The following is a 13,927-nucleotide window of genomic DNA, read 5'->3' as shown; positions in this document are numbered from 1 at the left end:
ATAAATCAAGATTTCTGCATTTCAAATCATGCATATTTCTTTAAATTTATTGCTCAGTGTACTGTATTTCAAATATTGTAAAAATGAAAAGATCTTGTGGTCTTATTTAACTCAGTATGGGATAAGTCCTTCCCACCTTCCCATTCTTATTCCCTCTTTTAGGCTGAATGAAAGGCTGGGGGAGTGAATTTAAAAATAGATGGATCTCAGCTGGAGAATGGGTTGGTCACGTATCTCAACTGATATTAAATAATTTCTTAAATCCTGGATTGAAGATTATAAGAAAACAGTAAATGTTTGCTCTCAGTTCATTTCTTTGTTTTGTTTTTTCATGTACAGTTTTAGGCACTTGTAACTGCTGGATGCATGAACTACTTTCTAGTTCTTTCAGGCCTACTTTTAGATATCTGCTGTGGGGACAGTCCTCAACACTTAAAGTAATTTTAAATAGTGATAGGCAGAACTAGGGGTCAGTTTTACTGCCTATGCCTGTGCTGAATTTGACATGGCATTCCTAGGAGGGGAGGTGGAACGAGGGCGGTGCACACATTGTCCATATTGCTAGTCAGTGCCAGATTTTGAGAAACTGGGGCTAATCTCTCTCTTAAATGGTCAAGATCTAATTCCCCAAAGTGCTGTTTCAGATAACCTAGTATTTGTCCAAAATTGCCCTGCTACAATAGTATTTATCTTATATATATGTATTATATATATAATATATATATAATCTTATATATATGTATTATATATATTATATATATAATCTTATATATGTATTATATATATAATATATATATAATCTTATATATATGTATTATATATATAATATATATATAATCTTATATATATGTATTATATATATAATATATATATAATCTTATATATATGTATTATATATATAATATATATATAATCTTATATATATGTATTATATATATAATATATATATAATCTTATATATATGTATTATATATATATAATACATATAAATATATATATATATATATATATAGGTTTTTTTTTGTTTTTCCTCCTGAGATGTAGTCTCGCCCTGTTGCCCAGGCTGGTGTGCAATGGTGCAGTCTTAGCTCACTGCAGCCTCCGCCTCCTGGGTTCAAGTGATTCTCCTGCCTCAGCCTCCTGAGTAGCAGAGACTACAGGTGTGCACTACCACGCCCGGCTAATTTTTGTATTTTTAGTAGATACAGGGTTTCACCATGTTGGCCATGCTGGTTTCAAACTCCTAACCTCAGGTGATCTGCCTGCCTCAACCTCTGAAAGCACTGGGATTACAGGCATGAGCCACCACACCAATCCTATTACATTCTTAAAAAAATGTTTGTTTGTTTGTTTTTGTAGAGATGAAGTTTCACTATATTACCCAGCCTGGTCTTGACTCCTGGGCTCAAGTGATCCTCCTGCCTTGGCGTCCCAAAGTGCTGGGATTATAGACATGAGCCACTGCGTCCAGCCTGTATCATATTTTTATTCTGATATCTTTTGTAATTTTGTTTTTAGTGAAGTAGGGAGGTTTATATTAGATAATCTTCCAAGGTAATTATCAGCTTGGACATTATATGCTAATATGTCTTTTGTTTGTTTTTAAAATAAGTGTATATGTTTTAATTGTAAAATTTTTAAAACATCCAGAAAATGACATAGCAAGTGCCTATTTATCCACCACCTGGAAATATAAATTATGTCCATTTTTATCCCTTGGGGGAAAGGATGCAGTTATATAATCACTTTTAACAACCCCAACTGTTCAAGTCCTGTTACCCGTCTCTACACAAAGTAACAACTGTCTTGAGATTCTTAAGTAAATTTCACATCCTTGTTTTATACTTTTACTATACATGTGTACATGTATCTGTAAGTGATATGTGGTGTTGGTTTTTGTATTAAATTTTTACAGACATGTATAACGCTGTCTTTCAATAGCTTGATTTTTTTAAACTCAGTATCAAGTTTTTGAGGTGTATATGTTGATGCGTGTACATGTAGTTTATTCAGTTTCACTGCTGTATGGCACTTCATTTTATGCATAGATAAAATGTATGTGTCCCACTATTGATGGATATTTTGAGTTGTTTTCTTTTTGCTATTATAAATAATGCTGCAGTGTTTATTTTTACATGAGTGTATGTGCAGGTGTTTTGGGAAAAACCGTAGAAGTGAAATTGCTGGTTACTAGATATTGGTAAATTCTTTTCCTAAATGGATATGCCCATGTATACTTTATCAGCATTATGTGGGCATTTCTAGCATCCTCACCCATACTTGGGATTGTCAGATTTTAAAATAGTTACTAATTTGAGGCATGTGAAATGCTATCTCATTTTAATTTACAGTTGCTTGATTATTCTGAATCGTAGGTAAAAGGATAGGAAATTTATTATTTTCTGTATGTTTTAAATATCTCAAAAATAAATGTTTTTAAAGGAAAGGCACACTATCGTACAACATTTATGTTGAAAAGGACCATGAAGATCATTTCATCCAACCTTCTTACTTTACAGTGCAGCCAAAGAAAGTTACCAGAATAAGAGTAAAATATAAAATCCTGCCCATTGTAGTATTCTCTGGTAGTATGAGCCTTAATTTTTGATGTAAAAATCATGTCTTTTTCTTTATGATTGTGCTTTTTGTTTAAGAAATCCTCTTTTTATATTGTCTGCTAATAGTTGAGGATTTTTTGTTACTCTTTGTTATTTGCATTTAGGTTCATCTGAAAGGAGTTAGGATTTTTTATTTTAAATATGAAAAGCTAGTTGTTCCAGCATTAAGTATTGAATTTTTAAAATTTTGTATTGAGGTTAAATATACATACATAATTTACCATCTTTTTTAAGTGTACAGTTCATTTTTAATGATTTTTTAAGTGTACAGTTTTTTAAGTGTACAGTTCAGCAATAATAAATACAGTTATGTTCTTCTGCCTTTGTCCTCTCACTCCCCACTTCGGCTGCTAGTAACCACCAGTCTATGCTTATCTTCTTGAGATATACTTTTTTAGCCCATGTATGAGTGAGAACATGTGGTATTTGTCTTTCTGTGTTTGGCTTATTTCACTTAACATAATGGCTTCTTGTTCCATCCGTGTTCCTGCAAATTACAGGGTTTTATTCTTATTTTTATAGCTGAGTAGTATTCCACTGTGTGTATAAACTACATTTTAAAGTCTATTCGTCCTAATTATTGAATTCTCCCCACCCCACCCACCTTTTTTTTTTTTTTTTTTTTTCCAGGAGACAGGGTCTCCCTCTCTTCCCCAGGCTGGAGTGCAGTGCCATGATCATAGCTCCCTGCATCCTTGAACCCCCTGGCCTCAAGCGATAGTCTTGCCTCAGCCTCCCAAGTAGCTGGGACTGCAGGCAGGCACCTCCAGGCCCTGCTAAGTTTTGTGGGTTTTTTTTTTTTTTTTTTTTTTTTTTTTTGTAGAGATGGGGTCTTCCTATGTTGCCCACTTTGGTTTGTTAGTTTTAGTAGTTTATAATTCCTTTGTATTATTGTGAACAAATAACAGTTATTTTGAAATAGAAGAGTGCTTTCTATTTAAAATTTTGCTTTGATAGGGTTCTGTCTACTTTCTGAGCCTTACCTTCCTGTGCATTCCCCTTTGGTCAGTACCATCTTACCACACAGGCTGCTTTTAGTTTCTTGAGTTATCCATCTTCCTTCTATCTTATAGGGCTCAACCTAAATATTACTCAGGGAAGCCTTCCTTGAGAGTCTTTCTTTTTGCACTCATTGGTTTGGGGCTTCTTTATATTATACTGTTAATTGAATTCTGAGTCGTGTTTATCTCAACTGAGATTAGGTAATTTATTTTGAGAACAGTAAATGTTTATCATCTGTCATTCTTTTTTTCATGCCCACATTCAGTTATTTGTAAGTGCTGAATGTATAAGTGTTCATCTACAGATAAGGATCAGTTCTTTTTTCCCCAACTAGAAATGTTACTCCAGTTGATAATAACAGCTCAAACGGAAATATAAGGCAGAGGTGAGAGAGTCACTTGAGGCCACGAATTGGAGACCAGCCTGGGCAACAAAGTGAGACCTTATCCCTATGAAAAATAAAATTAGCCCAGCTTGGGAGGCTGAGGTGGGGGGATTGCTTGAACCCTGGAGTTCCAGGCTGCAGTGAGTTGTTATCACACCACTGCACTCCAGCCGCGGTGACAGACCCTGTCCCTTAAAAAAAAAAAAATTATAACCAGCCACATTGAAATATTTTGTAAGACATTAATAGAAGACTAAATGTTCTCATATGTTTACTGTTTGTGTTAAGTACGTATGGTTTTTAGAACAACAGTTTTCTATCAAGTGTGGTCTGGTTCACTTAGAATTAGATGGGGTAGATTTTTTGAAAAGCGTTTTGAAGTTAAATTAGAAGCTAATGGTTTTTTGTCACTAAATCAAATTTTGTTTTATGCGTTTAAGTGCTACATTTATTTGATAGGCAGGTGAATGTAACAGATTAAACTTGAAAATAATGTAGCTATGATTCCTTCAAGGAAAAACCCACCTACCTTTAGTTCTTTTAGTATATTGCATTATAAGTCTTTTGTGTGTGCATATATAGCAGGCATAAATTGGCATAATTCTGGGTTTAATTTTAGGCTAGGCGCTATGGAAGTTTGAACTCTAATTACAGTGTAAAAATAACCCAGAGGAAAATTTCAGAATAATAAATCATTGGGACTATATGGTACAGATGTCCCTGTTTTCAGATTGTAGAATTGTTGACCAGTAGGAATGCTTTATGATTAAAAGCCAGGAAATTAAAGTAATTCTGATGATTTGGTATTTCTAAAGATTTTCATAGATGACAGTTGAGAACTACTCTCAGATGAGATTCTTCCATTGCTGGTAAGTCATGTAATAAAACACTTAAGTAAATATTTTAATGAGGAATGATAACATTTTAATATTGGCACATTGTGAGTCTACCTTCTGTAGTTAGTAGGTAAATAAGAAATAAACATACCTTATTTAAAAAAAAAATTTCAAAGAACCCAAGGGAGGGGAGAGCCAAGGTGCACATTAGAAGGAGATTACAGTACTCTTCCAGTGCACAGTGGATGTGTTGTGATTCCAGAGTTCTATGTATGTATGACTGTGTAGCCCAGATTTACCAGCATGGGCTCAGTTTTAAATGTTAGGTTAGGCTCATAAATCATGAAAAGTTCCTAGGAATTCTAACATTTTTACATTTCCAGAAGAGAGCCTCTTGTATTTTGTGGTAGTTGCCCCACCATCCCTCAAATATTGGTGTGTAGAATCTATTTTTGAGGATGAGGAAATACAGAAAAGAAAAATAAAAAGCTATTTTTTTTTAAGTATAAGAAGAAATGAAAGGTTTCTCTTCGCTTCATAGCCAATTCTAAAACTTAACAGTTGTTAAGTGTGTTTAACTGTAGAGGGAAAAAAATGCCTGGAAGGAAATTACCAATCAAATATAAAATGTAAGATAGCTGTAAAAGTACTGATATACATACAGCTTTTTTCCTTTTGGGGAGGCAGTATTTAAAAAAAATCCTACCAAACATATTCTCTAACTTTCAAAACTGTTAATAGCTTTATTGAGATAATTCACATACTATAAAATTCACCCTTTTAAAGTTTTTAGTATATTCACAGTTCTGCAGCCATCACCACTATTGAATTTTAGAACATTTTCATCATCCCCAAAATAAATCCTAACCTGTTAGCAGCCATTCCCCATTCTTTCCTGGCCTCTGGAAACCACTAATCTGCTTTGTCTCTATGAATTTATTTATTCTGGATATTTCATATAAATGGGAATCATACAGTATGTGTCCTTTTGTGTGTGGGTTCTTTTACTTACCATGGTATTTTCAAGGTATGTTCATTGACATGTATGTCTGTTTTTTTTGGGTAACACACACTCTTGATTACTGTAGCTTTGTAGTAAGTCTTGAAACCAGGAAATGTGAGTATTCTAACTTATTCTTTTTCAAAATTGTTTTGGGTCTCTGGGTTTCTCAAATTTCCATAGAATTTTAGGGTTAGCTTGCAAAAAAATGCAACTGGGATTTTAATAGGACTTGGATTTGTGTTGAATCTGTAGGTCTATTTGGGAAGTATTGCTACCTTAATACTGTCTTCTCATTCATGAGCATGGGATATCTTTCCATTTATTAAGGTGTTCTTTAATTTCTTTCATGTTTTGTAGTTTTCAGTATACAGGTCTTGTACTTATTACTTTAAAAATTTATTTCTAAGAATTTTATGTTTTGATGGTATTGCAAATTGAATTTTTTAAAATTTCATTTCAGGTTTTTAATTCCTTGTGCATAGATTTTTGTGTACTAAAACTTGTGTTTCATATAATTTTTTTTTCCTCTTAACTGTGTTATAGGAATCTTTCAAATGGTTGGCTACATACACATCCATCTGATTCACTTAGTAAACATTTCTTGAACACCTACTGTGTAGTGGGCCTTTTTTTCTAGGTCCTGGTAGAGACAGCAGTGTATAAAACCCACTCAGTCCTTTGCTTTCATGGCACTTAAATCCTAAAAAGAGATCATAAAGATAGGTAAAATATATGTTACATAGTGCTAAGGAGAAGAAACAAATAAGGGAAGTGTTTGCAGGTGAAAAGGATGATGGGAAATTTTAGATAGGGTAGGTAGAGAAAACTTCACTGAAATGGTAACTTGGGTGAAGAACTGAGGGAGATGAGAGAGCTAGCCATGTGGATATTTGGGGGAAGAGCATTTCAGGCAGAGTGTAGTGAATAGGGAAACCCCAAAGTGAGAGTGCCTGATGTGTTTGAAGAACTCGAGGTGTGGCCAGTGTAGCTTTAGAAAAGTAATTGATGGGAAATAGAGAGAATGGAGGGTACAGATATTTTGATCATAATAAGGTGTTTGATTTTTACCTATAAGTGAGATGGGAAGCTATTGGAAGTCTTTGAGCAGAGTAGTGAAAAAGTATGACTTATGTTTAGCAAGGTCACTCTGGTTGCTGTGTTAATCATAGACTGAAAAAGGGGACAAGGGCAGAAACAGACCAATTGGTAGACCATTAGTACAGATTAAGACGTGACTGAAATGGACAGAGTGGTCACAGTGAGGGTGGTGAGAAGTGGTTGAATTCTTGATATATGTTGAAATAGAGTCCATAGGATTTGGTAGTAGACCAGATGAAAGTGGGAAATAAAGGGAGGAGTAAAACATGATGCCAAAGTTTTTTGACCAGAGCAGCTGAGAGAATGGAGTTGGATAATTCTTATAAATTATTGCATTAAATCTGTGCATCATATCACATGCCCACTTAACTACAGGTAATTTTACCATATAAGCTTGTGGGGGGAAAAGAGGAAAAACAGAAAAAAGGATGGAAAAGCATGTTTTAAAATATAATAAATTAGGCCTTAATGAAAAATTGTCCTTGAGAAACCTGAGATGGAATACTCTAAATCTGATGTGTTCTCTCAATCTTTAGAACTGAACTAGGAATTAACTCTGAGAGTTCATGATGTTATGAGACCCTTTGCCTGTTTTGGAAATTCGGTTGTTTTCAATATTTGCTTTTGCAATGATGGTACCTGTTATTTTTTCTGTAAGGTAGATTCCTACAAATAAGATGTCAGGCCATTAGATCATGTCAATCTAAATATTTGATAGGTTTTGCCAATTACCTTTTAAAAAATAATTTTAGCAAGTTTCATTCCTTAAAATATATTAGGGACTGCTCATTTACCTTGTTTTGATTCATGTATATATAAAATCTGTTTAAGTCTTTATAAATAACCTGGGAAATTGCCTGGTTTTTTGGTCCATTTCTATTGTGGTGTTTGTTTTTTAAATTTGTAAGCATTCTTTATATATCATTTAATTCTTTATTATAATTTGCAAATATTATCTCTACCTACCTTTAATTTTATAGTATCTAGTCATGTGAAATTTTAAAGTTTTTATGTAGGCAAATCTGTCCATCTTTTATGGTTTCTGGGTTTCAGCATGCTAACAAAGTTGATATAAATATGATCTCATATATATATTACAAAAACTTTTTAGAGATAGGATCTCACTCTGTCACCCGGGCTGGAGCAACCATAGCTCCCTGCAACCTCAAACTCCTGGGCTCAAGTGATCCTCCTGCCTCAGCTTCCCAAGTAGCTAAGATTATAGACATGTGCCACTATAGCTAGTTGGTTTTTTTTTGGTTGGTTGGTTTTTTTTTTTTTTTTTGGTAGAGAACGTATCTCAGTGTGTTGCCCAGACTGGTCTCAAACTTCTGGCCTCAAGCTATCCTCCCACCTCAGCCTCCCAAAGTGCTGGGATTACAGGCATGAGCTACTATACCTGGCCAATCTCTTGTATTTTCTTCTGATACTTTTGTGATTTTACTTTATAGACTTTAATTTAGAAAGTTAGATATGAGCATTCAGCATATTTTTGGATATGGTATGATATGGTTTAGATCTGGATTGCATTTGTCATGGTTTGGGAATTATATCTACCTTTTATTTTCTTCCACTTGGGTAGCTGATTGTCTTGTAAGGCATCCTTTCCCCACTGATAATGCCACCTTTTTCTATATTAAGTTCTCACAAACTTTGAAAAAAATCAAGTTTATTGATGTATAATTGATACACAATGAAATGCACCCATTTTAACTATATAGTTTTATTGATTTTGATAAATATATACACTATCACTGCTACTACAATCAAGCTTTAGAACAATTGAATTACCTCCAAAAAGTTCCTTCCTGTCTGTAGTCATTTCTCCCTCTTGGCCCCAGGCAACCACTGATCTGTTTATTAGTTTTCCTACTCTAGAATTGCATATCCATGGAATCAAGTAACATGTACTCTTCCATGCCTGGTTTCTTTCACTTGGCATGTTTTTGAGATTCATCCAATTTGTGTTTGTCACAGATTTTTGTTTGTTTCGTTTTTTTAAATACAATATGACTATACCACAGTTCATTCATTTTCTGGTGAACATTTAAATTGTTTTCAGTTTTAGGCTGTTGCGAATAAAGGTACTGTTTTGTGTGCATGTTTTTGTGTGAACATATGTTTTCATTTTTCTAGGGTAAATACCTTAAATTGGAATTACTGGGTCACATGGTAAGTTTATGTTTAAATGTATAAGGAACTGCCAAACTATTTTCCAGATGATTATACTACTTTACATTCCCATCATCAGTGTATGAGAGTTCCAGTTCTCCAAATGTCAGCATTTGATGTTCTCAGTCTTTAATTGCACACGTTCTGAGAGGTGTGTAGTGGTATCCCATTGCAGTGTTTTTTTTTAAGTGGTACTAAAATACACAACATCAAATATACCATTTTAACTATTTTTAAGTGTACAGTTCAGTGACATAAAGTACATTCACATTATTCTGCAGCCATCACCACTATCCATCTCTGAAACTTTTTCATCTTCTCAGTCTGAAACCCTATCCATTAAACAGTAACTCTTCATTGCCTACTCTCCCTATCTGCTGGTAATCACTGTTCTACTTCATATGTGAATTTGACTCTTCCAGGTACTTCATATAAGTGGAATCATACGATTTTTGTCCTTTTGTGTCTGGCACATTTCATTTAATAATAATAATGTCCTTGCGTTAGGCCATTCTTGCGTTGCCTTAAATGAATATCTGAGACTGGGTAATTTAAAAAGAAAAGAAGTTTATTTGGCCCCTGGTGCTGCAGGCTGTACAAGCATGGCGCCACCATCTGCTCAGCTTCTGGGGAGCCCTCATGGTGAGTTTACTCATGGTGGAAGGCAAAGGGGGAGCAGGCGTGTCATATGGCGAGAGCAGGAGCAAGAGAGAGGGTGGGGAAGTGGCACACCCTTTTTAAACGACCACATCTGCGAACTCACTCTGTATCCCAAGGAGAGCACCAAGCTATGAGGGATTGCTCCCATGACCCAGTTACCTCCCACCAGGCCCCACCCCCAACATTGGGGATTATATTTTAACATGAGATTTGGGCAGGACAAATATTCAAACCGTATCAGTCATCAAAGTTCATTCATGTTGTAGCATGTATCCAAATTTGATTCTTTAAGGTTGAGTAATATTTCATTGTGTGCATATATCACTTTTTGTTTTATTTATTTATTTGTCAGTGGACATTTGGACTCTTTGTAACTTTTAACTATGTGAATGATGCTGCTATGAACATTGGTATATAAGTATCTGTTTGAGTCCCTTCTTTTAATTCTTTTGGTTATGTACTTAGGAGTGGAATTGCTGGGTCATGTGGTAATTGTATGTTTAATTTTTTTAGAGACTGCCATACTGTTTTCCACAGTGACTGCACCATTTTACATTCCCACCAGCAGTGAATAAGGGTTCCAATTTCTCTGCATCTTTTCTAACACTTGGTAATTTCTGTTTTTTATTTAAAATAATTGCCATTCTAATGGGTGTAAAAAGTCATTATGGTCTTAATTTACATTTTCTTCATGACTGCTGTTGAGAAGTTTTCTTTTGTGTGTCTGTTCAAATATTTTCACATTCTTTTCAGAACATATGTTCTTTGTCAGATAGATAAATGTATTTCTTCTGTATCCTTACTGATTTTCTGTCCACTTACTAATTACCGAGAGAGGAATGTTGAAATCTTCAACTATAATTTTGAGTTTATCTTCCTTCTGCTCTGTTCATTTTTTCTTCATATGCTTTGAAGCAAAGTCTTTAAAGTTGTGTCCTTAGGTGTGTTCACATTTAGGACTGTTAGATCTCCTTGATTAATTGATGTCTTTATCATTATGAAATGTCTCTGTTTATCGCTGGTAATGTTCCTTATCTAAAGTCTACTTTGATATTAGTGTATCCATTCCTTTCTTATGATTAATTTTTGCACATTATATCATTTTGCTGTGTTTTTATTTTCAGCTTATTGGTCATTTAATGTCTTTCTTTTAGATAGCATATAGTTGCATCTTGCTTTCAGATTGACTTTTTACGATCGTTGCTTTTTGATTAAGTCCATTTACATTTATTGCAGTTGGCAATATAATTGTGTTTAAGACACTATTTGTTTTCTATTTGTCTAATCTTTTCTTCCTTTTCTGCCTTCTTTTCGGTTAATGGAGCATTTTTGGAATTTTGTATTGTCTCCATTATTAGCTTGTCCCTCTGTTTTTTTTCCCCCCAGTGATACTTCTAGGATTTACAATATGCACCTTTAACTTACCTCAATCTACCTTCAAAAATATTATTCCTCTTAATGTATAATGTAAGAATTTTGGAATAGTATACATCCATTTACTCTCCCTCATTCTTTTTGGTATTATGATCTTAACATTTTACTTCTATATGTGTTATAGATTCCACAGCAGCGTTTGAAACTATTTCTTTCAAAGGCCAGTTGTCTTACGAAGAAACTTAAAAACTAAGAATAACATTCCTTTATATTTACCTTCATATTTACCATTTTTATTTATTTTTCTTTGTGGAGATTCCTTTTTGTAGATCCAAGTTTGTTGCTGGTGTTATTTTCCTTTTACTTGAAAAAATTTCTTAAACATTTCTAAAGTATAGGTCTACTGGCTACAAAATCTTTCAGCTTTTGTTTGTATGGAAATGTCTTTATTTCACTCTTCATTTTATCGTACAATTTTTCAAACCACACAGACTTTAAAATAATTGTAGAATATAATTTCACAACATTTTGTTCTATTTGTTATTGTCTTCTATCTTGTCCATCTATCCATCCTGTCTTCTTCTAGTGTCTTTTTTTATGCTTTTCAAAGTAAGTTGCAGTTGTTAGTATACCACACCCTTAACTTGAGCATGTATGTTAACTAAAACTTAGTAGTTTAGTATTTTTAACTAGAATTTACTATGCTGTTCCAGTTATTTATTGCTGTGTAATACATTGCCCCAAACTTAGTGCCTTAAATATCAGCAACTATTTATTTTGCTCATGAATCTCTCATTTGGTCAGGGATTGGCAAGGAGAGCTTGTCTTTGACAATACATTGTAACAACTGTTTACATAGCATTACATTGTATTTGGTATTATAAGTAATCTAGAGATGGTTTAACATATTTGAAGATGCATGTAGGTTATATGCAAATACCATGCCATTTTATATAAGGGATTCGAAGCATCCTTGGATTTTGGGATCCATGGGAGTCCTGGAACCAGTCCTCTGTAGATAGTTGAGGTATGACTGTAGTCTTTGGATTGAAAGACTCACTAATTTCACTCAGATTCAAGGAGAAGGGCCATAGACTCCACCACCTGATGAAAAAATGACAGTGTTACATTGTTAAGAGCATGTGGAATGGCTTCTATTGTGACCATCTTTGGAAAATACAGTTGACCACATATACCATTTCATGAGCTGTGACAAATGTATACACCTTTGCCAGAAAGTTCTATCAGGGTATAGAACCTACACCTCTTCCTAGTTATTCCTTCCCCCCACACCACCCCTAGAACCTAACATTGTTCAGATTGTTTTCATCTTAGTTTAGCTTGCGCAGAACTTTATGTAAGTAGAGTCATACAATACTTATATGTTGTAAAAAGTTTCTTTTTGCTCAACATAATGTTTTTGAGATTCATCCATATTGTTGAATGTTTCGGTGGTTTGTGACTTCATCTGTTAAGGGACACCTGGGCTGTTTTCAGTTCCAGGCTGTTTTCAGTTCCCAGCTATTATAAAAAGGTACAATGAACATTTGTGTAAAAAAAGAAGTCTCTGTGTGGACATATATGTTTCTTTTTTCTTGGTTAGTTGATGTGTTTTTCTTTCAGCATTTGTTTTTGATGAGAAGTCTGGTTATACAGTCATGTGCCGCATGCTGACATTTCAGTCAACGAGATCATAGTTGACAATAGTCATTTAAGATTATACCACCATATTTTCACTGTACCTTTTCTAGGTTTAGATGTATAAATACTTACACTTTGTTACAGTTGCTTACAGTATTCATTCAGTATAGTAACATGCTGTACAGCTTTATAACCTAGGAGCACCCGGGCTATACCATGTATCCTAGTTCTGTAGTAAGCTATACCATCTAATCTAGATTTGTGTAAGTACGTTCTATGATATTTGCACAATGATTACCATGCTGAGAGTTGTTGGGGTTTTGTTTTTTTTTTCTTTTTGAATCTGTACATTTATGGTTTTCCTTAAATTTGGAAGATTGTTGCCATTGTTTCTTCTATATATATATTTTTTACCACCTTTACTCCTCTTTCATCATTTCCTCTTTTTCTGGGACTCCAGTTACACATATGTTAGACTGTTTGGTATTATCCACAGGTCATTAACATCATATTCATTATTTTTCAGTCTTTTTATTTCCCTGTGCTTCAGTTTGCTTTGTCTTCTATTTTACTGTTTTTTCTCCTCCCTTGTTAAATAATTTCAGATATTTCGCTTTATATTTCAAGAAATTCCATTTGATTCATTTTATTCATGTATTTTTTTGAATTCTTGAGCATATTTGTAATAGCTGTTTGAAAATCAGGTTACTTATTGATTTCTTGAATTTTTTCACTCTGAATTTGTTGGTTGGTTTTTTCTCTTGGTCATGGGTTGTATTTTCCTAGTATTTATTTTATTTTATTTTTTGTTTTTTACATATTTAATGATTTTTTAAGATTGGATGCTGGACATTGTAATATTTTGTTGTTGGGTGTCTAGATTTTGTTTTCTTTTAGAGTGTTTTGTTTTGTAGCCACCTAAATAACTTGCTGGTCAGTTTTATCCCTTCAGGGCTACATTGGAGTTTGTCTAGAGAAGGCTTTGCTTTAATGGTAGTAGCTCCTACCTAAGGCATGATCCTTCTGAGTCTTTACTAAATGCTCCCAGTGTCACCGTGTTCTCTTCACTCAGGTTAGAGAGAATTTTAGGAGTCTCCCAGTCCTTTATAAGTACTGGGAATATTTCAGCTTACTGCCC

The 13,927-nt window shown here is 34.0% G+C and overlaps 1 protein-coding gene and 1 long non-coding RNA gene across 50 annotated transcripts in view; one reads left to right on the top strand and one right to left on the bottom strand.

Moving 5' to 3' along the window:
- UBE3A (ubiquitin protein ligase E3A) overlaps positions 1-13,927 on the top strand; it is a 105,329-nt gene that overhangs the window by 8,017 nt on the left and 83,385 nt on the right. For 10 of the 49 annotated variants that reach the window (NM_001354540.2, NM_001354543.2, XM_047433013.1 and 7 more), the window contains one exon: positions 10,288-10,384. The exons of 30 other annotated variants lie outside the window; for them this stretch is intronic. The gene's annotated coding sequence lies outside the window, so the exon portion shown is untranslated. Of the gene's footprint in view, positions 1-3,438; positions 4,875-9,078; positions 9,115-10,287; positions 10,385-13,927 lie in introns of those variants that run through there. 9 more of the 49 variants (NM_001354538.2, NM_001354507.2, XM_047433019.1 and 6 more) reach the window with 2 other exon arrangements.
- The window catches only part of SNHG14 (small nucleolar RNA host gene 14), a 595,855-nt gene continuing 593,505 nt past the window's right edge, over positions 11,578-13,927 (bottom strand). The window contains exon 148 of the long non-coding RNA NR_146177.1: positions 11,578-12,252. This is a non-coding gene — a long non-coding RNA (small nucleolar RNA host gene 14). The remainder of the gene's footprint in view (positions 12,253-13,927) is intronic.

The sequence above is a fragment of the Homo sapiens genome, chromosome 15 (assembly GCF_000001405.40).
Source record: "Homo sapiens chromosome 15, GRCh38.p14 Primary Assembly".
Taxonomy (NCBI): Eukaryota; Metazoa; Chordata; class Mammalia; order Primates; family Hominidae; genus Homo; species Homo sapiens.
This window is presented reverse-complemented; position numbering and strand designations above follow the sequence as displayed.